This window comes from Homo sapiens, chromosome 12, assembly GCF_000001405.40.
Source record: "Homo sapiens chromosome 12, GRCh38.p14 Primary Assembly".
In the NCBI taxonomy this organism is placed as follows: Eukaryota; Metazoa; Chordata; class Mammalia; order Primates; family Hominidae; genus Homo; species Homo sapiens.
This window is the reverse complement of record NC_000012.12, coordinates 79,718,340-79,745,671: the sequence shown is the minus strand read 5'-3', so window position 1 is coordinate 79,745,671 and position 27,332 is coordinate 79,718,340. Positions and strand designations below refer to the sequence as shown.

At 37.6% G+C, this 27,332-nt stretch overlaps 1 long non-coding RNA gene across 1 annotated transcript in view; it reads right to left on the bottom strand.

Moving 5' to 3' along the window:
• The window catches only part of PPP1R12A-AS2 (PPP1R12A antisense RNA 2), an 89,875-nt gene that overhangs the window by 34,235 nt on the left and 28,308 nt on the right, over nt 1-27,332 (bottom strand). The window contains exons 3-4 of the long non-coding RNA NR_187531.1: nt 25,330-25,491; nt 24,303-24,395 (exon numbers count right to left, since the gene is read on the bottom strand). This is a non-coding gene — a long non-coding RNA (PPP1R12A antisense RNA 2). The remainder of the gene's footprint in view (nt 1-24,302; nt 24,396-25,329; nt 25,492-27,332) is intronic.

Here is a 27,332-nt window from a genome sequence, read left to right as displayed (position 1 = left end):
ATTTCACTTAAGAAAATGATCTTCAGTTCCATCTGTGTTGCTTGCATTCTTATGTAACTGTTTCACATGTCCATGTCTTATCTCCCCACCTGGATTGTAAGCATCTGGAAGACTGAGAACTTCAGCTTTCCGCCATATACAACTTCTCTGATTTCCTCACACTTCCTTTTGCACATTCTGTTTCCTTGTTCCGAGATACTCTTCATCTTTCCTCTTCTGTTTGGCCAACTCATCTCTCAGGCCTGAGTTTGAACAAACTTTCCTCTAATAAACTTTCATCTACTAGAGTACCTACTCTTTTCCCTTAAGTAATATGCTCATCATTCTTCATTCTAACTCTCCCTGTTGAACTACAAGCTCTGTGACAGTATATCTGTCTTATTCATTGCTATATTCCCAGCACCTAGACTAGCACCTGACAATAAGATGTACCCAACAAATGTTTGTTGACTGAAAGAATATCTACTTATTTCTTTTGTTTCTACTTCATGCATAATAGTATACCATCTACATGCTAAGTACTTAATATAGTCCCATTGAATCAAGCAAAAGATGATAAGGATTCATGAAGTGTTTATTTGTAAGCTGGGAAATGAGTAAACATGTGTGACTGGAAGACAGTGTCCTTCAGAATAATTGGACATTGTATTCAAAGCCCACCAACTAGCCCCTTGCTCTCTCCTTTCCTTTTCCAAATAATTTATTGCGACCTACTATGTACTAGGCACTGGAGATAACAGTGGTAAGCTAAGTGAAATCCCTATGCTTGATGACTTAACATATAGCCTAGTGAAGGAGATAGAATATTGACAAATCAATAAAGGATGCAATATTGGGCAGTGATAAGTGCTATTAAAAAATCAAAGTAAGCCAGGCATGGTGGCTCACTCCTGTAATCCCAGCACTTTAGGAGGCTGAGTCAGGTGGATCACCTGAGGTCAGGAGTTCGAGACCAGCCTGGCCAACATGTTGAAACCCTGTCTCTACTAAAAATACAAAAGTTAGCAGGGCTAGGCCAGGCATGGTGGCTCACACCTGTAATCCCAGCACTTTGGGAGGCCGAAGCGGGTGGGTCACCAGAGATTGGAAGTTTGAGACCAGCCTGACCAACATGGAGAAATCTCATTTATACTAAAAATACAAAATTAGCCGGGTATGGTGCCGCATGTCTGTATCGCAGCTACTTGAGAGGCTGAGGCAGGAGAATCATTTGAACCTGGGAGGTGGAAGTTGCGGTGAGCCAAGATCATGCTATTGCACTCCAGCCTGGACAACAAGAGTGAAACTCCGTTTCAAAAAAAAAAAATGCCAGGCTTGGTGGTGCGTGCCTGTCATCCCAGCTACTCCAGAGGCTGAGGCAGGAGAATTGCTTAAACCCAGGAGGTGCAGGGTGCAGTGAGCTGAGATCGTGCCACCGTACTCCAGCCTGGGTGACAGAGGTAGACTCCATTTCAAAAAAAAAAAAAAAAAATCAAAGTAGAGGAAAGGGGTAATAACTGGGTATGAGAATGTGTTAGTCAGTTCAGGCTGCTATAACAAATTGCCATAGCTACTGGGTGGCTTAGAAGCAACAGAAATTTATTTCTCACAGTTCTTGGCTGGGAAGCCCAAGATCAAGGCACTAGCAAATTCAGTGTCTGGTGAGAGCCTGTTTCCTGGTTCACAGATAACCACTGATGCAGGAGTCCTTCAGATTCTCTTTTATAAGAGCATGAATCCCATTCATGAGGGCTCTGTTCTCACGACCTAATCACCTACCAAAGCCCCTACGTCCTACTACTATCACATTGGGGGGTGGGTAGGATTTCAACATATGAATTTAGGGGTGGGGGGACATAAACATTTAGTATATAACAGAAGGTGAGTATTCCAGGTAGCTTGGACAGAAAAAAAGACATCTCTCAGCAGGAGATATTTGACCAGGAACCTGAGGGAGGTGAGAGGTGGAGCTGCGTGTATATCTGAAAGGAGAATGGGATTAGCAGAGGGAACTGCAGATGCACATTCTGAGGCAGAAATGGGTTTCACCAGACAGTGGGCCAGAGCAGAACTAACCAGGGTGAAGAATAGTAAGACATGAGGTGAGAGGGGAAGCGGGCAGGGATTATAGGCGCTTATGAAGCAGGATATGGTCCTAGGGTTTTATTCCAAATGTGATGGGAAGATTTTGAGCAGAAGAGTGACATAATCCATCTTCTTTTCTTTCAACATCGACTGGGCATCTCTTATAAGCCAAGCACTGTACCAGGTCTGTTTCTTAAAATCAATCACACTTTGATTTGCCCCCCTCTATGCTCCATCCATATTTCACTCTCAGAGCAGGCCTCTAACTTTCCATGCCTTTACCTATAATCTACCTTGTTTCCAATGCAGCTGTCAAGAGCCAGCTAACATGGCACCCCTTTTGTGAAGCTGGGTTTTCTTTGGATTCTCATGGCACTACTTTGTGCCTCTGCCATAGTGGTTGTAATTGGCTTTGAGTACATCAATCAGTTCCTCCCACAAGACCATAAGTCAGCACATCTTATTTTTGTCTAAGGCCCTGAAATGAGTCATATTTTCCCCTTTATCCTTGTACAAATTAAATCCATTTTAGAGACCATTTTAACTACAAAAGCACAATATGTATAACAGGCAGCAAAACTAGTCCCGCAATACAGAACAAGATACTCATGGACTCTGACAAAAATTATGTTAATAGCTAAGGTTAATGAAGCAGTTTGTCATTTATAAAATTTAATACAAAACTTTAGTGAATTCTATAGAATTACAGAGTTAGAATTGATCTTGTAGCCTTTTTAGTCCTCCCCTCCTTATCAAGCTAGGGAGGTTGATGGCTAAAAAGCCAGCAGGTGGAAGAAAGAGTTATTGCAGCTAAATTCTCAGGCAAGTAAGCTAGAATGTCAGAGTCATAAATGAGGAAATGATGAGCAGGAGTGGAGGAGAATGGGTGCTAACAACTTACAATCATAGACATGAGAAAGCTCTTTCCATTCTCACACCTTCAGGGACTCCTTGCACAGGCCAGTGGCTGTCACTGTGGGGCACACCCTTACTCATGCCCTCTTTCCTTCACATCTGAATTTGGGGGATTGGAGCAACATTTAGAAGCTCCTATCCCCACTTCTTATGCTTCTTCCCCTGAGATAGGAAGGGAGAGGAGTACAGCAGGAGGACTATAACTGTGCTGAAGATGAGTTTAGATGACTGCCCCAAACAAAGAAATGCACTTCTAAGTGTTTCTCCTGCAGCCTTGGCTGGAATATGTGCACAGGGATACAGACAATCCAAACTCCTCCATATTGTGAGGCACACTCAAAACTGAGTGAATGACTGAATAACTAAACAGAATAATGTTAGATATATATCAGGAGATAATATAAATTCACAGAAAGCAAAGAACAGTATTGATGGGCTTAATGCTTGTGTTTTATTGTTGTTATTGTTTTGTTTTGTTTTTAATTGAGACAGAGTCTGGCTCTGTTGCCCAGGCTGGAGTACAGTGGCAGGATCTCGGCTCACTGCAACCTCCGCCTTCTGGGTTCAAGTGATTCTCATGCCTCAGCCTCCCAAGTAGCTAGGATTACAGGCATGCACCACCATGCCTAGCTAATTTTGTATTGTTAGTAGGGATGGGGTTTCACCATGTTGGCCAAGCTGGTCTTGAACTCCTGACGTCAGGTGATCCACCACCTAACCTCACAAAGTGCTGGGATTACAGGCGTAAGCCACTGCACCTGGCCAATTTTTTAAAAGATCTACTTGGAAAATATAAGGACCACAAAATACATTTAGTAGCTTAATAAGGGACATGTTAAACAAGATTTCAAATGGCAAAGTTATACATTTAACATGCATAATTAGGCATTATTCTCAAATATAATTAGTACTCAATATTTTACACTTTGAAAAAAATTTACATTATACTTTTACTTTAAATATTGCCAGACTTTTTTAAAAAGGGCTATATTTGCACTTTACCAATATGCCAACATTTTTTTTTCTAAGTTCATCAGTAAACCACTGAATGGACATGTCTGCAAGCACAGTTTATTAATGTGAGCCTGTGTGAGTATTGTTAGGGAGATGTTGAGGATCCATAATGTAGATACTGTATCTCAATAATGACATTTTGCCTGTTATAGCATGTTTATGTTTCTGGATTTGGGACAGGAAAAGCATTGGAAGGGGTAGCAAATCTTGCATAGAATCCTTAAAAATTATCATCTGTATTCATTTATACATCTTTGAAAATATTAATAGAAGCAAGAATATTTTTCTCAAAACTTGGTACAAAAATCTCTTTAGAAATCACTAATATTGGCTGGGTGCAGTGGCTCACGCCTGTAATCCCAGCACTTTGGGAGGCCGAGGCAGGCGGATTATGAGGTCAGGAGATTGAGACCATCCTGGCCAACATGGTGAAACCCCGTCTCTCCTAAAAATACAAAAATTAGCTGGGTATAGTGGTGCGCACCTGCAGTCGCAGTTACTTGGGAGGCTGAGGCAGAAGAATTGCTTGAACCCGGGAGGCGGAGGTTGCAGTGAGCCGAGATCACGCCATTGCACTCCAGCCTGGCAACAGAGCAAGACTCCATCTAAAAAAAAAAAAAGAGAGACAAAGAAAAAAGAAATCACCAATATTTCACATTTATTTGATACTGATCCTAAAAATAAAAGTGTTCTTTTTGTAGCCTACATGCTTATTATTGCCTTATTCTTTAAGAAGTTCCATGTTGGCTCCAGACTAAGAAATTTGCAACCTCAAGTCAAAATGGAACATGTTAGTTTTCCAACTTGTATTATTCAAAAATTTAAAAATATGTGTCACTAGGCACAAAATCTACTTGTTATAATTATGTGTGATAATAGATTTTTTGGGTATTAAGAATTTTATGTGAGTATTGTGAAAAACTTGTGACTTTTTGCCATTGCAAGTCTACGCAACCAGTGAAACCAAAAAACTGTGGGAAAGAACTTTGAAGGCTTTGCTGATTGCTTTGCTAAATATTATCTGGTATGTTTAGTTATAAATAAAAAAAGAAATTAACATTTCTTGATACCTTACTATGTGCCAAGCATTGATAAGCACTTTATGCACAGTATATCATTTAATCCTCACAACAACCATAAGAGGCAGTCTGGTTTTTCAGTTGACTGGGGTAAGAGGAAGAAATTGAATTCATGAGCTTAAGGCATGAGCAATGAAGCCAGGAGCTGAACAATATCTTACTTCATACCCATTCTACTTCATGTAATTTCAAGTCAACACCAAAGTTCTCATGTACTTTTCCTTCAAAACGTGCCGTTTTCTCCCACGTCTTCAACATTCAATCTAAACCACTGAACTAAAGAATTCTGAGGGTGTTCCAATGTTCAGATTTTCTTTGAGTATTTTCTGACATAAGTGATGACTGCTACCCACAAACTTCATGTCTGATCCTTGCCCTTGAAAGTGGACTACATTTGCATCATGTTTTCTTAGTAAATCTTTTTGAATTGTTAGTCTGAAAATATGAATCTAGTCAATGGTTTAAAATTTCTCAATTATTAAAATAAATGTAGCCAGGCACAGTGGCTCAGGCCACTTTGGGAGGTTGAAGCAAGAGGATTGCTTGAGCCCAGGAATTGGGACACCAGCCCAGGCAACATGGTGAAACCCCATCTCTACATAAAATACAAAAATTAGCTGGGTGTGATGGTATGCGCCTGTGGTGCAAGGTACTCAGGAGGCTGACGTCGGAGGATGGCTTAAGCACAGGAGATCAAGGCTGCAGTGAGCTGTGATTATGCCACTGCACTCCAGAGCCTGGGCTACAGAGTGAGACTCTGTCTCAAAAAAAAAAAAAAAAAAAAAAGAAAGAAAAAAAAAAGTCTCAAACACCTGAAAGCATAATTTGCACAGGTTGAGAGTTTTAAATGGACACTTAAATATGTTTTCCAAATTCCTCCCATTAGTTAAACTTTTTCAGTCCTGTTAAGTATTATCTCAGACCTTTTTCTCTTTTCTGGTGGTGATGGTGATATTTCATGTTTTTCTTCTTTCTTTTTCTTTTTTTTTTTTTTTTTTTTTTGAGACAGAGCCTTGCTCTGTCACCCAGGCTGGCTGACTGCAACCTCTCGGCTCACTGCAACCTCTGCCTCCCAGGCTCAAGTGATTCTCCTGCCTCAGCCTCCTGAGTAGCTGGGATTACAGGCACCCGCCACCATGCCCAGCTAGTTTTTGTATTTTTAGTAGAGATGGGGTTTCACCATGTTGGCCAGGCTGGTCTCAAACTCCTGACCTCAAGTGATCTGCCCACCTCAGCCTCCTAAAGTGCTGGGATTACAGGTATGAGCCACCACTCCTGGCCATTTTTTCTTAAAACCGTTTTCTGTTCTATTCCTGTCACTGATCCCATTCCTCTCAGTGGTCACCTTTGTACCCTACAATTCTTGGGTTTATTCAGGTTCCTTTTACAGACCAGTTAACAACATCCCTTTTCCTTGTCCGCCAAACATCTTTTGTCTACTTAAGTATTTAGTCATCATTGTCATAATTGTTCTGAAAATGGCTTTGATAAGTGGGCCAGCCCAGAAGACCAGCAATTTCTAAAGTTAATAACACCTTGGGCAAACAAATTATTTCATGATTCACTCCTTTCATGACCCCTCATAAGAGAAAAAAATTGTATGGTGAGAATAAAGATGTAATTAAGTGTTTTAGGTATTCGATAGTTGTACTGATGGGTTTGGTCTGCAGACAATTGCTTTGATGTTAGGACAAGGATTGTATCTGTTCAGTGTAAGTTTTCATTGAAAGAAATATATGCTCATTAGAAAACCTCACATGGTTAAAACCTTCTAATGATTAAATTGAGTACTTAATTCTAATTGTAGCCCTTATGACAAGTCTTTATATGGTCACAAGATTTTTTTTAAACACAGAAAAATACCTGATTTAGTAAAAAATCTGAATCAGAATTTAAAAAAAATTTAGTACTTCTAAGCACCTACTGAACCCAACTGTTCATTTTACAGGAATCCTAAGGATCTGTGCTAAGTGTCTGTTTTTCTGATTTAAGAATGAACAGTAATTAGCAGGTAATTTGAGTTTGAAAATAATTTATCTAAATAATTTACTCTATTAAGGAGAAAGTTTTTAATTAGTAGAGATAAATTACAGCTAACCCAAAACCAAGTCTCTTCTTTTGTATTCTGAAAAGCATTTTTCACCTAAAATGTTACAGAAAAAAAAGCGGCTGAGGTAGTTGGCGATGACTTTTAGTATACCTATTGATAAAGCATAAACAAAAGTGGGGTGGGGCATTGAAATGTCTTCTTAATTGCTACCGATACCTGCCACTCAAACCACTAGGTGGCACCAATAAGCTTTTCCGATATGTACAATAAATGTACCTATGTTTAAGGCACTCCTTGAACAATATCCCATACCATGACTACCAAAATGCTTAAAAATTCTACCCATATACTTAAGAATTACTGCACAAAGTTATGCCTCTAGACAACAATAAATGGTGTTGCTATTTGATTGTTGACAAAAGTATTGAGAAAGCAATCTAAATACAAGTCACCATGATTTAGTGGAAAAAACACTGGAGTGAGGGTCAATAGTCCTTGTTCTGTTCTCAGCTTCACCACCAACTACCTCAGTGTCTTGAGTAGTCACTAAACCTCTCTGGTTTCTATCTCCTGATCAGTAAAGTGAAAGATTGGGACTAGATGAGTTGGTTTCAAAATGTAAGTAAAAGCCTCTTTTCTTCTACAAAATCCCTCAGAATTCTAATATGGAAAACAGATGAAAGCAAGACTGAGAAGGGAGGGAAGCGTGGTTGGATGTTGGAAAGAGAAGAAGGTATGAGAAGCACCTTTTGCTCTGCTTCCCACCAGTCTCCTCAGTGTCCAACCTGTGGTCCAGAAAAAAAAATAATTTGGATACCAATGAAATAGAAAATTACTAACAACTCTGTGATCCAGAAGTCTGTAAATCCAAGTATGTAGCACTATGTCCAAGTTCTTAAGCATTTTCCAACTTTAGCGGCCCAATTCCAGGATATAGTACAGCTATTATTTTCTCCATTTTACAAATAAATAGTAAACTAAGGATGGGTAATTTAATAGTTTTCTAAAAGTCTCCTTTGAGATTCACTTGCAGTTGTAAAAAAAAAAAAAAGAAAGAAAAAAAAGAAAAAAGAAAACCAAGCAGAAATCCCATGTAAAATTTACCCAGTTTCCTCTAATGGGAACATTTTGCAAAATTATAGTATAATATCACAACTAGGATATTCACATCAATACAGTCAAGATACAGAACAATTCCAACACCACAAGAATCTCTGTTTCCCATTTATAGCTGCACACATTTTACTCCTACCTTGACTCTTTACTTAGCCCCTGGAAACCTCTAATTTGTTCTCCATTTCTACGATTTTTGTTATTTCAAGAATGTTATATAAATGGAATCGTATGTATGTAAGCTTTCAGGATTTATTTTTTCATTAAGCATAATTCTCTGAAGATTCATTCAGGTTGCTGCATGTATTAATAATGCATTCCTTTTTATTGCTGAGGAGTAGTTCATGGTATGGATATGTCACAGATTTTTTTTTTGGAGGCAGAGTTTCGCTCTTGTTGCCCAGGCTGGCGTGCAATGGTGCGATCTTGGCTCACCACAACCTCCACCTTCTGGGTTCAAGTGATTCTCCTGCCTCAGACTCCCGAGTAGCTGGGATTACAGGCATGCACCACCACGCCCGGCTAATTTTGTATTTTTAGTAGAGATGGAGTTTCTCCATGTTGGTCAAGTTGGTCTTGAACTCCTGACCTCAGGTGATCCGCCCGCCTCGGCCTCCCAAAGTGCTGAGATTACAGGCGTGAGCCACCACACTCGGCCTGTGTCACAGATTTTTAAGCATTCACCCATTGAAGGATTGAAGGACATCTAAATTGTTTCCAGGTGTTTGCTTGCTTGTTTGTTTTTGAGACAAGGTCTCACTCTGTTGTCCAGGCTGGAGTGCAGTGGCACAATCTCAGCTCACTGCAACCTCTGCCTATGGAGCTCAAGCTATCCTTCTACCTCAGCCTCCTGAGTAGTTGGGACCACAGGCGTGCACCACCACACTTGGCCAATTTTTGTATTTTTTTTTTTTTTATAGAAATGAGGTTTCACCATGTTGCCCAAGCTGGTTTTTAACTTCTGAGCTCAAGAAATCCGCCTACCGCATATGGCCCTCCAATTTTTGACTCTTATAAATAAAGCTGCTATAAATATTTGTGTACACCTTTTCATGTGAATATAAATTTTTATTTCTCTAGGATAAATGCCCAGGAGTGCAATTGCTGGGTCACTGTGTAGTTGCATGTTTAGTTTTTTCTTATTTTTAATTTTTATGGATACATAATAGTTGCACATATTTATAGGGTAGAAGTAATATTTTGATATAAGCATTAAATGTGTAATGATCAAATCAGGGTAACTGGGGTATCATCATCTTGAACATTTCTTGAACATTTATCATTTCTTTGTGTTAGGGACATCCCAATTCCACTCTGCTATTGTGAAATATACAATAAATTTTTGTTAACTATGGTCACCTTATTGTGCTACCAAACATTATATCTGATTCCTTCTATCTATATTTTTGTACCCACTAACCAATTCCTCTTTATCCCCCTTTCCCCACCTCTGGTATCCTTCCTAGCCTCTGGTATCCTTCCTAGCCTCTGGTAATGATCATTCTACCCTGTATCTTCATGAGATCAACACATTTAGCTCCCACATATGAGTGAGAAAATGTGATATTTGTCTTGCTGCGCCTGGCTTATTTCACTTAACGTAATGCCTTACAGTTCCATCCATATTGTTGCAAACAACAGAATTTCGTTCTTTTTTGTGGCTGAATAATTTTCTATTGTAGATATATGTACCACATTTTCTTTGTCCATTTATCCATCGATGGATACTTAGGTTGATTCCCTATCTTGGCTACTGTGAATAATAGTGCTGCAATAAACATGGGAGTGCAGATACTTCTTCAATATACTGATTTCCTTTTATATGGATCCTATACCCAGCAGTAGGATTGCTGGATCATTGGGTAGTTATATTTTTAGTTGTTTGAGAGGTCTCCATACTGTTCTCCATAGTGACTGTGCTAATTTACATTCCCACCAACAGTGTTGGAGGGTTCCACTTTCTCCCTATCTGCCCTAGCATCCGTTATTGCCTTTTTTATAAAAGTCATTTTAACTGGACTGAGATAGTATCTCATAGTTTTGATTTGCAGTTCTCTGATGATTGGTGATGTTGAGCATTTTGTAATATACCTGTCGGCCATCTGTATGTCTTCTTTTGAGAAATGTCTATTCATATCTTTCACCCATTTTCAATTTGAATTTTTTCTGTTGAGACGTCTGAGCTCCTTATATATTCTGGTTATTAATCCCATGTCAGATAGGTAGTTGGCAAATATTTTCTCCCATGCTGTGGGTTGTCTTTTCACTTTGTTGATTGTTTCCTCTGCTGTGATCCCATTTGTCCATTTTTTGCTTTAGTTGCCTGTGCTTTTGCGATCTTACTCAAGAAATCTTTGCACAAATCAATGACCTAGATAATTTTCCTAATGTTATCTTATAGTAGGTTCATAGTTTCAGGTCTTACATTTAAGTTTCTATTCAATTTAGATTTGATTTTTGTATATAATATGAGATAGGGGTTTAATTTTCTCCTTCTTCATATAAATATCCAGTTTCCAAGCACCATTTATTGTTCTTTCCCAATGTATGTTCTTGGTACCTTCACATGTTTAGTTCTAAAAGAAACTATTTTCCAGAGTAGGTGTATCATTTTGTATTCCCAATGGCAATGTAGGAGTGATAGTTTTTTTTTGCATCCTCACCAGAATTTGGTGTTTTCACTAATTTTTTAAATTTTAAAAAAATTTTAGTCATTCTCATAGGTGTGTAGTATTATGCATTGTGGTTTTAATTTGAATTCCCTAATATCTAATGATGTTAAACATCTTTGTATATGCTTTTTGATATCTGTATATTCGCTCTGGTAAAATTTATTTTGTCCACTTTATACTTGGATTTTTAAATTTTATTTTTTATTTATGTATTTTAAGTAATTTTTTATTTCTATAAATTTAAGGGGTATGAGTGCAGTTTTAATACACGGATATATTGAGCAGTGGCGAAGTTTGAGCTTTTAGTGTAACTATCACCCAAATAATATACATTGTACCTATGAAGTAATTTCTCATTCCTCACCTCCATCTCCCCTCCCCCGCCCTCCTCCTCTTCTGAGTCTTCAGTGTCTATTATTCTTTCCTTTATGTTCATGTGTACACATTATTTAGCTACCACTTATAAATGAGAACCTGCAGTACTTGACTTTTGGATTTTTTTTAACTGTTGAGTTTTGAGAGTTCTTTATATATTCTGAACATTACTCCTTGTCCTTTCATCTTTTTAATAGAATTTTTCACACAGCAAATGTTTTTAATTTTGATAAAGTTCAATGTGTCAGTTTTTCCTTTTATGGATCATGTTTTTCTTGTCAAGTCTAAGAACTCTTTGTCCATCTCTAGATCTCAAACATTTTCCCCTATTATTTCTAAAAGTTTTATACTTTTATATTTTACATTTATATCCCTGTACCATTTTAAGTTAATTTTTGGATAAGGTCTGAGGTTTGGGTTGAGATTTGCTTTTTAAAATGAATGTCCAATTGCTCTAGCACCATTTTTTAAAGGCTATCTTTCTTCCATTGAATTGCATTTTGTGCCTTTGTCAAAAATCAGTTGGAGGCCAGGCACAGTGGATTATGTCTGTGATCCCAGTACTTCGTGAGGCAGAGGCAGGCGGATCACTGGGAGGCCAGGAATTAGAGACCAGCCTGGCCAACATGGCAAAAACCCATTTCTACTAAAAATACAAAATTAGCCAGGCATGGTGGCCCACACCTGTAATCCCAGCTATTCAGTAGCTGAGGCATGAGAATTGCTTGAACCCAGGAGGCAGAGGTTGCAGTGAGCTGAGATTGCATGACTGCACTCCAGCATGGGTGACAGAGTGAGACCCTTTCTCAAAAAAAAAAAAAAAAATCAATTGGACATACTCGTGCAGGTCTATTCCTGGGCTCTATCCTATCTCATTGATCTATGTGTGTGTCCCTGTCCACCAATACCACAGACTTCATAATGAAGCTATATAATAAATCTTGAAATTGGATTCCCACTTAATTCTTTTTTTTCAAAATAGTTTTGTCTACTTCTTTTTTTTTTCATATAAGTTTTAGAATAGTCTCATGTATATTTACAAAAATCTGCTGAGATTTTGGTAGCAAATGGATTAAATTTGTCTATCAAATCAGTGAAAATTGATATCCTTACTATGTTGAGTTTTCCAATCCATGATCATGGTGTGTCTCTCATTTATTTAGGGCTTTCATTTTTTTCAGCAGTGTTTTGTAGTTTTCAGCATTAAACTCCTGTACCTGTTTTGTGATGGTTACATCTAAATATTTGAATTTTTTGAGCAATCATAAATGGTATTGTACTTTTAATATTGGTGTCCATGTGACAATTGCTAATATACAAAAATATAATTGATTTATGTAAGCTTATCCTGTGACCTTGATGAATTCATCTACTAGTAGAATTCATCTACTAGTAGGAGTTTTTTTATAGACTCCTTGGCATTTTCTATTTAGATAGTTATGTAATCTACAAATAGTGACAGTTTTATGTCTTTCTTTGTGATTTGTATGTTTTTACTTTCTTCCCTTGTTTTATTGCACTTGCTAGGACTTCTAGCACTATGTTGAATAAGAAGAGTGACAGCAGACATCCTTGACTTGTTCCTGATCCTAGTGGGAAAGCATTCACCATTGAGTATATTGTGACCTACAGTTTTTTTGGTAGATGATCTTGATCAAATTGAGGAAGTTCCCTGCTATTCCTGTATCTCTGAGAGTTTTTATTATGTAAGCTCACATAAATCAAGTACATATTCATTTGTCTCTTAAACAAATAAACAAAAACTGTCACCCAGGCTGGTGTACAGTGGTGTGATCATAGCTCACTGCAGCCTCAAACCCTGGGCTCAAGCAAACCTCCCACCTCAGCCTTCCAAGTAGCTGGGACTACAGGAGCATGCCACCATGCCCAGCTAATTTTAAAAAAATGTTTTGTAGAGACAAGTCTCACTATGTTGCCTAGGCTGGTCTCGAACTCTGGCCTCAAGCAATCCTTCCACCTCAGCCTCACAAAGTGCTGGAATTACAAGGTGTCTGTCAGCCACCACATCCAGTCCTCTGAGAGTTTTAAAAATCATATATGAGTATTGAATTTTGTCAAATTTTTTTCTGCACTGGTTGATATAATCCTATGATTTTTAGCCTATTAATATGGTGAATTACATTGATTGATTTTCAAATATTAAATCAACTGAACACCCCAACAATAAACCCCCTTGGTATGATTTATAATTCTTTGTGGATACATATACATATGTATGTATGCCTGAATTCTATTTGCTAATATTTGTTAAGGATCTTTGCATCTTTATTCATGAACGATATTGGTCTATAGTTTTCTCTCTTTGTACTATCTTTGTCTGCTTTTGGCATCAGGGTAATATTAGCTTCATAAATGAATTAGGAAGTGTTTCTCTTCTATGTTCTGGAAGAGGTAAGAGAAAATGTATACTTGGCATTAATTCTTTAAATGTTGGTTGGAATTCTCCAGTGAAAGCATCTAGGCTTGGATGTTTCTTTTTTTGTAAGTTGTTAAATAACAAATTCAATTTCCTTAATGGTTATAGGTCTATTCAAAGTACCTCTTTCATGTTGGGTGAGTTGTGATAGTTTTTCAAGGAATTCTTTTATTCCATCTAAGCTGTGGAGTTTATATGTGTAGAGTTGTTCAAATTATTCTCTTACTGTCTTTTTCATGTCTGCAAAGTCTATAGTGATATCCCTATTTCATTCATGATATTAACATTTAAACAAGTATATCAAATATATTAATAATTCATGTTTCCTCTTTTTTTTTCTTTTTCAGTCTAGCCAGAGGTTTGACTGATCTTTCTAAGGAATCAGTGCTTTGTTTCATTGATTTCCTCTATTGTTTTTTGCTTCCAATTTCATCATTTTCTCTATTGTTTTCTTTTTACTATTACATTTTTAAATTGACAGATAACATTGTACATTTTTATTATGTACATGATATTTTGAAGTACAGACATATTATTGGATGGTTGAATCTTGCTAATTAACAAATGTATTACCTCACAGGTATCTTTTTTTTGTGGTGAGAGCACATAATATCTACTCTCTTTACGTTTTCAAGAGTATACTATATCATCACTAACTGTAGTCACCTTGCTGTACAATACATCCCTTGAACTTAATTCTCCTAACTGAAATTATGTATGCTTTGACCAATATCTGCCCATTCTCCCCTTCCCTGCAGCAGCCCCAACCTCTGGTAACCACCATGTGGAGAAAAGGAAACTTATACACTGCTGGTAGAAATGTAAATTAGTACTGCTGTTGTGGAAAACACTATGCAGATTCCTCAAAAAATTACAAATAGTACTACTATACAATCCAGCAATTCCACTATTGGATATATATCCAAAGGAATTGAAATCAGTATATCAAAGATTTACCTGCACTCCAATATTTATGACAGCACTATTCACAAGAGCCAAGACATGGAATCAACTTAAGTGTCCATTAATGGATGAATGGATAAAGAAAATATAGTATATATACAAAATGGAATTATCATTCAGCCACAAAAATGAATGAAATTCTGTCATGTGCAACAACATGGATGATACTGGAGGACATTATGTTAAGTGAAAAAAGCCAAACAGAAAGACAAAATACCACATGATCTCACTCAAAGGAATAATCTAAAATAGTTGTTCTCTGTTGTTTTACTATTTTTGATTTTATTGATTTCTGTTTTTATCTTTATTATTTCCTTCTGCTTGCTTTGGTTTTATTTTGCTTTCTTTCTAAGCTCTCGAGATTCAATTATTGCTTTTAGGCTTTTTCTGTTTCATAATGTATGCACTTAGTGCTTAAAATTTTTTTAGCACTGCTTTAGCTGTGTCATACACATTTTGATATATTGTTTTGTTATTTTCGTTCTGCTCAGCTTATTTTTTAAAAAATTTTCTTTGTGGCCGGGCACGGTGGCTCACACCTGTAATCCCAGCACTTTGGGAGGCCAAGGTGGGCAGATCACTGGGAGGCCAGGAGTTCGAGTCCAGTCTGGCCAACATGATGAAACCCTGTCTCTACTAAAAATACAAAAATTAGCCAGGCATGGTGGCAGGCGCCTGTAATCCCAGCTACTTGGGAGGCTGAGGCAGGAGATTCTCTTGAACTGGGAGGCTAAGGTTGCAGTGAGCCAAGATCGCACCACTGCACTCCAGCCTGAGTGATAAAGAAAGAGACCCTGTCTCAAAAATAAATAAATAAATAAATAAATATAAAAATAAAATAAAATGCCTTTGTGACTTCCCCATTGACTCACTGATTATTTAGAAATGCACTGTTTAGTTTTCAAGTGTTTGAAGATTTTCCTGTCATCTTTCCACTGTTTATTTCTAGTTTGATTCCATTGTGGTCAGAGAACATACTCCATATAATTTCAACTGTTTTCAAATTGTTGAAGATTGTTTTGTGGCTCAGGATATCATCTATTTTGGTATCAAGTTCCATGGGCACTTGGAAAGAATGGGTATTTTGTTGTTGTCTGATGGAATGTTCTATAAATGTTGATTAGATACTGTCAGTCAATGCTGTTGTTGAGTTCTTCTATATCTTTGCTGATTTTCTGTCCAGTTTTTCTATCCATTATTGAGAAGGGTGTTGTATTCTCCACAACTATAATCATGAATTTGCCTATTTCTTCTTTCTGATCTATCAGTTTTTTCTTCACATATTTTGCAGCTTTGTTATAGAGTGCATAATCATCTAGGATTGCTAAGTCTTCTTGGTGAATTGACATTTTTTCATTTATGTTGTTCTTCTCTGTCTGGTAATTTTCTTTGTTCTGAAGTCGGCCTTATCTGATATTAATATAGCTACCACTGATTGTTTTTCACTAATGTCTACATGATATACCTTTTTCTATTCTTCACTAACAAGCTACCTATATTATTATATTTGAAATGAGTTTCTATATTTGGGTCATGTTTTTAATCCACTCTAACAATATCTGTCTTTTAATTGGTGTGTTTAGACCATTTATATTCAATGTAATTATTGTTATTTGGGGGCATAAGTATGCTACTTTGTTTTATTTTTCTTGTTTGTTCTCTCCTTTTAATTTCTGTTTTTTTCCTTTCTGTGGGTTACTTAACATTTTTTAGAATTCCATTTTATCTACAGTGTTTTAAAATGAAAATGTTTATTTTTGTATTGGTTGCTCTAGGTATCACACTACATATACATAACTTATCACAGTCTACTGGTGGTGTTATTTTAACAGTTAGAGTGAAATGTGGAAATTTATCTCCCTTTATATCCTTTTACATATCCCCCATTTATATTACCTTAAATATTTTCTCTACCTGCATTTAAAACCACATCATACAGTATTGTAACTTTTAAATTCAACCATCAAACACAATTTAGAAAACTCAAAAAGAGAAAGAAATCTATTGTATTTACCCATATTTTTGCTTATCTTTGTTGTATTGTTCTTTCTTCTTTTCTGATGTTCCAAGATTCCTTCTTTTATCATTTTCTTCTTGTTTAGAACATTTTCATTAGCCATTTTTTAAGGGTAAGTCAGCTGGCAACAAGTTCTCTTGATATTCCTTCATCTGAGAAAGCCTTTATTGTTCTTTCATTCCTGAAGGATATTTTTGCTGAATTCTGAGTTGATGATTCTTTGCTTTCATCACTTGAAAAATGTTGTGCCACTTCCTTCTGCTTCCATGATTTATAGTGAGAAATCCACTGTTATTTGAATTGTTTATCCCCTGGTAATGCTGGGTAAAGTGTCATTTTTTTTCTCATTGCTTTCAAGATTGTTTGTCTTCAATTTTTAGAAGTTTGATTATGATATGTCTTGTTATAGATTTCTTTAGGTTTATCACATTCACTCAGTTTCTAGAATCTGTAGGTTTATGTCTTTTGTAAAACTTGGTAAGTTTTCAGTCTTATTTCTTTAAGTACCTCTTTATCCTCTCCTTCTGGCACTCTAATAACATAAAAGTTACATCTTTTGTTATAGTTCCTTAGATTTCTAAGGCTATGTTCATTTTTCTTTTTCCCAGTCTGTTTCTAACTCTGTTGTTCAGATTGGGTAATTTCTATTGCTCTGTCTTCTAGTTTACTGATTCTTTGCTTTGTCTTCTCTATTCTGCTTTTTCATTTTTATACCAGATACATTTTTTGTTCTAAAATTTCCCTTTGATTCTTCTTCATGTCTTCTATTTCTTTACTGAGATTTTCTATTTGCTGAAACTTTCTATTTTTTAAAATTTATTTCAGGCATGTTTGTAATTGCTCATCTAAACATCTTTATGGTGGCTCATTTACAATATTTTCCAGATAATTCTAAACTCTCTTGTCATCTAGGAGTTGATATCATCTTTTTTCATTCAGTTTGAGATCTTCCTAGTTCTTGGCATGACAAGTGATTTACTATTGAAATGGGGATTTTTGAAGCATTATGTTACGAGACTGAATCTTATTTAAACTTTGTTTTAGCTGGATTTCTCTGATACCACTCTAGCAGGGAAAGTGGGGTGGTAGAACATTACCTCATTATTACCAGGTAGGGGTAGGAGTTCAGTACTCAGCCTTCATTGACAGCTCAGGTCAGGGACTCCTTGTTCTTTCTGGGAAAGGCTATGTGTTCTGGCTTTACACTAGACCTCCTTGGCTTAGAGGAGTAGGAGTGTCTCAACACTCTCTTTGTATGTTTCTACTGACATCATAGAGGGATGAAAGAGTGTGGTCTCATTACTGCTGGGCAGTAGTGAAAGTCCTGTCTCTCCACCTAGCCTCCTCTACACCACCACAGTAGGGAGGGAGGACATCTCATTATTACTTGGTGGGAGTGGAAGACCAAGCCCCCCACATGGTTTATACGGTCATTGTGAAGCATGGCAGCTGGGGGCTCATTGCTGCCTATGGGCACAAAAGTTCCAGCTCCCTACTTAGTCTTCTCTGACACTATACTGGTGGGGTAGTTGGGGTGCTTTATTTCATTTCAGCCTGGAAAAGATGGAGGTCTAAGCCTCCCATTTGGCCTTTCCTGGTGTGGAGAAGGATGGGGCCAGTTTTTTCTATGGTGTTTGGCTGAAATAGATTGGTTATTATCTCAAAGTTTTCTGGCCTTTCAGGCCGCCCTATTCCTGGTTTTTTAGTTAGAGAAAGCAGGCTTTTTGAGGGGCTTTAACTTTTTGGTCTGTGCTTGTTGGGATTTGGATTATAGCCTTCTCCAGCACCCAATCCAGGATATATGAAGCAAAAAGAAAACCTAAATAATTCACTACCATGTCATTCCTTGGGTTCCAAGGTCCCTAGCTGGTCTGCCTTCTTCCCTCCACTTTTCATAGTCTATTTATGTTTGTTTTATAGATAATATCTAGGGTTTTAAGTTGTACTTAATGGAAGGAATAGGGAAAATTACATCTACTCCATCTTACCGGAAGCATTAGCTGCATTTCCAGTCTTTTTACTCCATTCATTGAGATAATAATCTACCATAGAAAATAATAATAAAGGTATTTCAAAGTATACAATTAATATTAAATGCAGAAGAGACTGTTATTGCTTAAGGATACTCCATGAAGCAAGAAAGACTTGAGTTCCCATCTTAATAAGTAAATGCCATCCTCTAAGTCCTATAATTCTCCAAACATTATATAATAAAGAGCTTAAAAATAATTATCATGCCTTTAGTTTTTACCATAGTTCCTTACATACAATTAATGCTCTCGACAATCAGATGGAATCAATATTATTATTATTACACTTTTTTTACAAATGAGAAAACTGAAGCTTAGAGACTTGAAGTACATAAGTCAGATGTGGATTTGAACTGGGTCTGTCTGAAACCTAATAATGAATTTTAATCACTTCGCTATACCGACTCATTCCTTTTGAAATCAGAACAAATGTATGTAGAAGGGCTTCAGGTACCACCTGCCTAATTCCAACCAAAATGAAACTGTTGCAGACTGGTAGAAATTGAAAAACACATGAGCATATGGTATATTGGAAGCAGAAACTTCAAAGTCAGGTATGGAGATATCATAGAAGAAATGAACAAAAATGTCTAATATAGGAGTGAAGATCTTATTTCTGACAATGTAACTTGCCTTCATGTTCCTTAGTTTTGCTCTGGGAAGATGATGTATAGAAACAGGCCCTGTTCTTTAATTGAGTGTGATGTAAGATGTGCCAGCATTATGAATCACAAGACAATGAAATATTTCATGTGGCTTTAAAGTTCTCGAGCCTCAGGGGAAAATACATTCCTAGTCAATGAAGTGTTTTGAGGTTGTATATCAATTTCTAACTTTTCAAGTTATATAAAAGCACATTTTCTATAACCATTAATGTTGTCCCTTCCATTAAACTAATGCATAGCCATGACATCATCTTTAAATTCATTCTTTTTCTCTTTGAACATATAAATCCCTAGGAGTGTCTTTCTAAACAAACTCCTCTTAAAATTATTTGAAGACTCAATCTGAGCTGATCTTTTCTTGTTCATGTTCTATCTGCTTCTCTCCCAAGTCTTCCAAGTCGATTTCAGCAACTACCCTTGATTTTTTATTACCATCATTTAAATTATATCATTTATAAGAATATGCTGGTTGGAAGAATATCTCCTTAGAATTGAGGCCTATGAATCACAACACCACTGTGTCAGGGCCATATAGGGCTATGAAAAGGGAAATAAAACATGACCTATCCCTTCAAATATATTGCACCCCCTTTACTAGGCTTCTATCAACCTTGTGTTGCCTCCTCTTCATTGCACTGATCAACAAAATATGCCTTTGTGTACCAGTTTGTTGTTTTTGTTTGTTTGTTTTTGAGACAGAGTCTCACTCTGTCACCCAGTCTGGAGTGCAGTGGCATGATCTTGGATCACTGCCATCCTCGTCTCCCAGGTTCAAGCAATTCTCATGCCTCAACCTCCCAAGTAGTTGGGATTACAGGTGTGTACCACCATGTCCAGCTAATTTTTGTACTTTTAGTAGAAATGGGGTTTCATCATGTTGGCCAGGCAGGTCTCGAACACCTGGCCTCAAGTGATCCTTCTGCCTTGACCTCCCAAAGTGCTGGGATTACAGGTGTGAGCTACCATGCCTGGCCTGTTTACCAGTATTTTTGTTTTGATTTTTTTTCTTTTTCATTTTTGCACATAGAACTTCACAACTAGAAACTGTGATTTTTTTTAACAGGTTAAGTAATATAATTGTTTTAATGTTTCTATGTGGTCCTTATTTTGAAATCTCAACATTGTTCATATATTATAAAATAGAGTATACCTTCAAAATGTATACTTTTTAATAATTCTAATTAGCTCTAAAAATTAAGTAGGCAATGGTTATTACAGAATATTCAAGAATAGATTTGTGTAATAAACGTTTTAAGTTCTTTTTTGAATTGGGTAATTTTAGGAAACTAAGAAGATACATCTGTAAAATACAGGTCAATGTAATTATTACGGATAGCAAGAGCTGCCATTTATTAGGCACTCTGTGAGCTTTCTGTTGAGGATTTTACATAACTAATTTCATTTACTTTTCACAACAAATATATGACTTAGTTATAATCTTTTGCCCATTTTACAGATGAAAAAGATGATGTTAGAAAAGGTAAATAAATTTCCCCAAAGAGAAACCCAGATGTGTTTGACCCCAAAGCTTCATCTCTCCTAATAAGTCTATAAAAATAATTAGGAACTCAAAATTCTTATTTGCCCCCATATAAATGACTGCTAACTTCATAGTTTCCTTTCTGACTGAAGAGGACTGATCGAAGTAACATCATTCATCTAGTAGAAACTTGGAATGTGCCAGGCACCATTCTAAGTTCATTATAGCTTTATCCCATTTAAACTTTATAAAAACCTAATAAAGTAAATAATATTATTTTCCTCTTTTGCAGGTGAAGAAACTGAGGCAGCAGAAATGAAGGAATTTGACAAAGATCATACAGTTAAGTAGTATAGGCAAGATTCAATTAAAGGAAGTCTGACCTTAAAACTCATATCTTAAAAGAATTACCACATGATCTAGCAATCGCATTACTGGATATTTATACAAAGGAAATGAAATTTGTATGTCGAAGAGATATCTGCACTCCCATGTTCATTGCAGCATTTTTCACAATAGCCAAGATATGGAATCAACCTAAGTGTCTATCAACAGATGAATGAAGAAAGAAAATGTATACACAATGGAGTAACATTCAGCCTTAAAAGCAAGAAAATCCAGCCTTAAAAAGGAAGGACGACCGGGTTGTCATTTGGGACTACATGGATGAACCTGGAAAACATTATGTTAAGTGAAATAAGCCAGGCACAGGAAGACAATACTGCATGATCTCACCCATTTGTGGAATTTTAAAAAGTCAGAAGTCAGAATCATAAAAGTAGAGAGTCGCATGCTGGTTACCAGGGGCTGGAGAGAGGTGGTGGTGGGGGGGTGGTGTTGGGGAAATATTGGTCAAAGGAGACAAAATTTCAGTTAGGTAGGAGGAATAAGTTCAAGAGATCTATTGTACCACATGGAGACAATAGTAAATAACAATGTATTATAGTCTTGGAAGTTGCTAAGAGAGTGGATTTTAAGTGTTCTCATCATATAAAATGATAAGTGTGTTCTGCAATGCATATATTAATTAGCTCAATGTAGTCATTCCACAGTGTGTACATGTTTCAAACATGTTGCATGTGATAAATATATACAATTTTTGTTAATTAAAAAACATTTTAAACTCTCGAGAAAAGAACCAACAGCTTAAAACATTCATATCTTAACCAGTATGCTACATAGTCTCTGGCTGATACAGATGCTGAAGGGCTGTTTTCATTTCTTTTGAGGCCTTCAGGGCACTAACATTGCATGAACGCATCTCTTATTTTAAAAATTACTTTCGGCAGCTGGACGCGTTGGCTCACGCCTGTAATCCCAACACTTTGGGAGGCCGAGGTGGGTGGATCATGAGGTCAGGAGATCGAGACCATCCTGGCTAACATGGTGAAACCCTGTCTCTACTAAAAATACAAAAAATTAGCTGGGTGTGGTGGTGGGCGCCTGTAGTCTCAGCTACTTGGGAGGCTGAGGCAGGAGAATGGCGTGAACATGGAAGGCAGAGCTTGCAGTGAGCCGAGATCGCACCACTGCACTCCAGCCTGGGTGACAGAGCAAGACTCCGTCTCAAAAAGAAAAAAAAAATACTTTCTTTTCACGTTTTTTTGTTGTGTGTGTGAGACAGGGTTGAAGTCTGGAGCTCACTCAATCCTCCCACCTCAACCTCCTGTAGCTGGGATTACAGGTTCATACCTTCAACCACTTTTTACTACAAAATGGCATTTTTAAAATGGCTTGATGTAATATAAATTGTCTTTCTCAAAATAATTATTTTCTTATTCCTCCCTTTACTTCCTGAATAGTCCTTATACTCCCTCTCATTGTTCAAACCTCTTATAACTCTGTAGACCACACAATTACAGTAATACCACATAAGAAGAAATTTGGGTCCTCATGCCTTCCCTGTAATATAGTCCTATTGCTTTCTGATCTTCTACTGCTTGAACATCACTTTGAATATTTATTGTGATATTTATATTGTAGTAATATAGGGGCATAAGGAAGCCAGTCATGATTTTAGTGGTTTGGAGACTGATTATGTTTTTCCCTGTTATTTATCCAAGTTTGAAAGGAACAAGCCCAAGGCAAAATTAAAGTTACAAAATTTTTCAAAGTAAGATTTTTCTTTCAACATTTTTCAATCAACATGTATTAAGTACTCACAAGGTCCTGGCACTCTGTGAAGTGCTATGGTGTAGAAAGATGTGAAATGGAAAGAAAATCATCACCTTGGCCTTAGAAGAATTTAAAGAACAATTTATACATTGAACTATTCAGTTTTCTTTGGAATTTTCTGATTTTTGACAACAATATTCTTAAGGGAGAGTCATAGAGAAAAGGTTTACAGGGGCTATTGCCCATTCACAGTATGGGTGAATAACTTTGAAAATTACCAATTACGATTTTTTGAAACGTTGATTGATATTTCATAAAATAATTTCTAGTGATAAGCCACATGGATCAACTGATTATAAATCTAGACTACTTTTGTTGAATGCAATGGTGGCTGACAAAAAGCCACCCCTACATTCTATGGTCACCCAGGTTTCTTTGCCTCACAAACTTACTTCAGGGACCACCGTAGCCACAGAGGGTCCCAGGATCAGGGCGCCATAGTACTCTGGATTCCATGCAAGAGCAGTGGGCTTTACAATGGGGGCTGAGAAAGGCGAGAGGGACCATGTCTTTCCTTTAGCCCTGACCCTCGCTTCAAAGTTGGAGTAATTGATATTTTTAACCTTTAGACCTCATATTATTTATTAAGGGTGATTTTTTTTTTCAGCTTCACATCATTTCCTTTTTTTTTTTTGAGACGGAGTTTCACTCTTGTTGCCCAGGCTGGAGTGCAATGGCATGATCTCGGCTCACTGCAACCTCCACCTCCCGAGTTCAAGCGATTCTCCTGCCTCAGCCTCCTGAGTAGCTGGGATTACAGGCATGTGCCACCAAGCCTGGCTAATTTTGTATTTTTAGTAGAGACAGGGTTTCTCCATGTTGGTCGGGCTGGTCTTGAACTAACAACCTCAGGTGATCTGCCTGCCTCGGCCTCCCAAAGTGCTGGGATTACAGGCGTGAGCCACCATGCATGGGCCACACCATTTCCTTATTAATGGCAAACATTTGGTAAGGGCCTACTTGTGTGCCAGGACCAATGCTGTGTGTTGAGGATGTGATGATATACAGATTATGTTTGTTGACCTTAAGGGGCTCACAATGCAGAAGGGCCAGCAATTATAACATTGGATAGAGGCTAAAGGAGGGGCCCATAAGTCAACTACTGTAGAAGAAAAAAACAGATCCTTAGAGAGTGGGTACAGAGGGCACCAAAAACGTTTACTAAGGAGGCAACATTTAAACCAATTATTGAAGGATAAGTACACATTCTCAAGGCAGAAAAGGCAGAAGGGGCTAGGCAAGGTGGCTCATACTTGTAATTCCAACACTTTGGGAGGCCGAGGTAGGAGGATCACTTGAGCTCAGGAGTTTGAGACCAGCCTTAGCAACATGGCAAAACCCCATCTCTACAAAAAATACAAAAATTAGCCAGGTGTGGTGGCATGCACTTGTAGTCCCAGCTACTTGGGAGACTGAGCTGGGAGGATTGCTTGAGGCTGGGAAGTCAAGGCTACAGTGAGCCATAATTGTACCACTACACTCCAGCCTGAGTGACAGATTGAGGCCCTGTCTCAAGGAAGGAAAAAATTAAAGGAGAAGGGGAAGCCACTACAGAAGAAGGTAATACATTTTTTACATGCTAGTTTGTTTGTATGTTCCTGAACCTACTTAAAAAGGAGGTAGAGGCCGGGTGTGGTGGCTCATGCCTGGTATCCCAGCACTTTGGGAGGCCGAGGTAGGCGGATCACCTGAGGTCAGGAGTTCAAGACCAGTGTGGCCAACGTGATGAAACCCTGTCTCTACTAAAAATACAAAAATTAGCTGGGTGTGGTGGTGGGCGCCTGTAATCCCAGCTACTTGGGAGGCTGAGGCAGGAGAATCGCTTGAACCCAGGAGGCAGAGGTTACAGTGAGCCGAGATTGTGCCATTGCACTCCAGCCTGTGCAATAGGAGCGAAACTCCGTCTCAAAAAAAAAAAAAAAAAAAAAAGGTAGAGACAAGATCAAGATCACAAAGTATGTTTAGATTATGAAAAGATTAAACTTGACCCATAAGCAAACTAGAGAATAATGAAGTTTTTAATCTAGTACTGTAATTATCAGATCCATATTTTGGATTATCATTCTGCTTTTAATGTGGAGAGTGACTTGGTAGTTAATAAAGTTGTTCAGGCTAGAATAGATATGAGCTTTCCAAGGTGAAAGATAAGGCAAGAATTTGTGAGATTTGGGAAGTAGAAATTCTAGTGCCTGGTTATTGATAGGATGTGGGAGTTGAGAGAGGGTAGCCTACAATGACCTCTAGGTTTCTGAGTAGCTGGATAATGACAAAAATACATACCTCATAACTTTTAAGAAGGACATATTTTTCACATTTTGATATCTCTGAAGTTGAAGTTCATCTTATATGTGATGGTATGTCTACTTAATTGGCAGTGTTGGTATCTTTTTCTTTCTCTGTGTTATACTAAATAATGGCACATCATTCTCCACATGATGACATCTTCGATTTAACATAATAAGAGAAATAAGAGCAGCAAAATCAGTTTTGAACAAGACGGCCCAGAGGGAGAAGGTTACCACCTATAAGAGATGAGGGTGATGGTGCCTTTAACCAATATTTATTACTTTATTATTTAAAACAAAAACCATATCATTTCCTGTTACTTAAGTCAGTCTCAGGACATTGAACACTTGATTATTCTAGGCAGATGAAATTTCCTACTCTGGTATCTGGACATTGTGGAATGGAGGTCAGGCTGATGCTGTGCAGGCTTGGAGCTCACCTAGAAATCTGGGTTTATGGAAAAATAGGGAAATCTATTATATTTTTTTACCATCCTTTGTTGAATTTTGCATCCTGCATTGCTAGATGTCAATTATCAACAAAGCTCTTAATATAAATGAGTATCTTTACATTTTCAATCTTATAGTCTTTCAGCAGTGCTAAATACTTCAATTTATCCCCAATTCTAAAAAAACAAATTGGCACAATCCAATCAGTGGACACAATGAGTCAATATGATCTATTACTATAACACCTTAACCAGTCTTCATACTTCTACTCCTGACCTAAGCAGAGGTGTCCAATCTTTTGGCTTCCCTGGGCCACATTGGAAGAAGAATTGTCTTGGGCCACACTTAAGAAGAATTGTCTTGGGCCACACATAAAATAAATTAACACTAATGACAGCAGATGAGCTAAAAAAAAATCACAAAAAATCATAATATTTTAAGAAAGTTTACAAATTTGTGTTGGGCCACATTCAAAGCCATCCTGAGCCACATGTGGCCCATGGGCTATGGGTTGGACAAGCTTGTTCTATAGTGTATTCTCCAGAAATTCACCACAGTGGTCGTTTAAAACTACAATTTCATGTCATTTCCCTGCTTAAAAACCCTTCAGTGTTTCCAGTCACCTTCAGAATAAAATCCAAACTTAGCTCAGCCTGTAATGTCCTCCCTGATCAGGGCTGCTTCCCTAAATGACCTCATCTTTCCTGTCTTACTCCTCTCTAGTCAGCCCTGCCTTCTTGCTGAACCCTCCAACATCACTTTTTTCCCACCTGAGTACCTGTGCCCTTGCTGTTCTCTCTGCCTGGGCTGTCCTTCCTCTAGATCTTCCCAAGGTTGTCTTTCTTCATTTGGGTCTCTGTCAAATGTCACTGGCCTTGTAAGACATTGCCTAAGCACCTAATCTAACACTTCAAACACCTCACATTGCCATGATCTTTCCCTTCACCCTGCTTCATTTCTCTTCATTTCACTTACCATAACCTGAAATTATAGATGTAATTGTTCACTCCATTAACATGTAAAATACAAAAGAAATACTTTGTCTTATCCTGGAACTGGGCCTGGCACATAGTAAATTTTCTATAAATAAATATTCATTAAATGAACATGATCACGTTTAAGATCTGAACTAAATGTCACTGTACTTGGTAAGAGTCTCTGCTGTTCTGAATGCCTATCATGGCCACAGCTCTTTCTCAACAAAATGGCCAAAGATCTTTGTGCACAGATTTCCATACTTTATACTAAGATTATTATTATTATTTGAGAAAGAGTTTTGCTCTTGTTGCCCAGGCTGGAGTGCAGTGGCGTGATCTTGGCTCACTGCAACCTCCACCTCCCAGGTTCAAGTGATTCTCCTGCTTCAGCCTCCTGAGTAGCTGGGATTATAGGCGCGCACCACCACGCCCAGCTAATTTTTGTATTTTTAGTAGAGATGGGTTTTCATCATGTTGGCCAGCCTAGTCTCAAACTCCTGAGGTCAGGTGATCCACCTGCCTCGGCCTCCCAAAGTGCTGGGATTACAGGCATGAGCCACTGCGCCCAGCC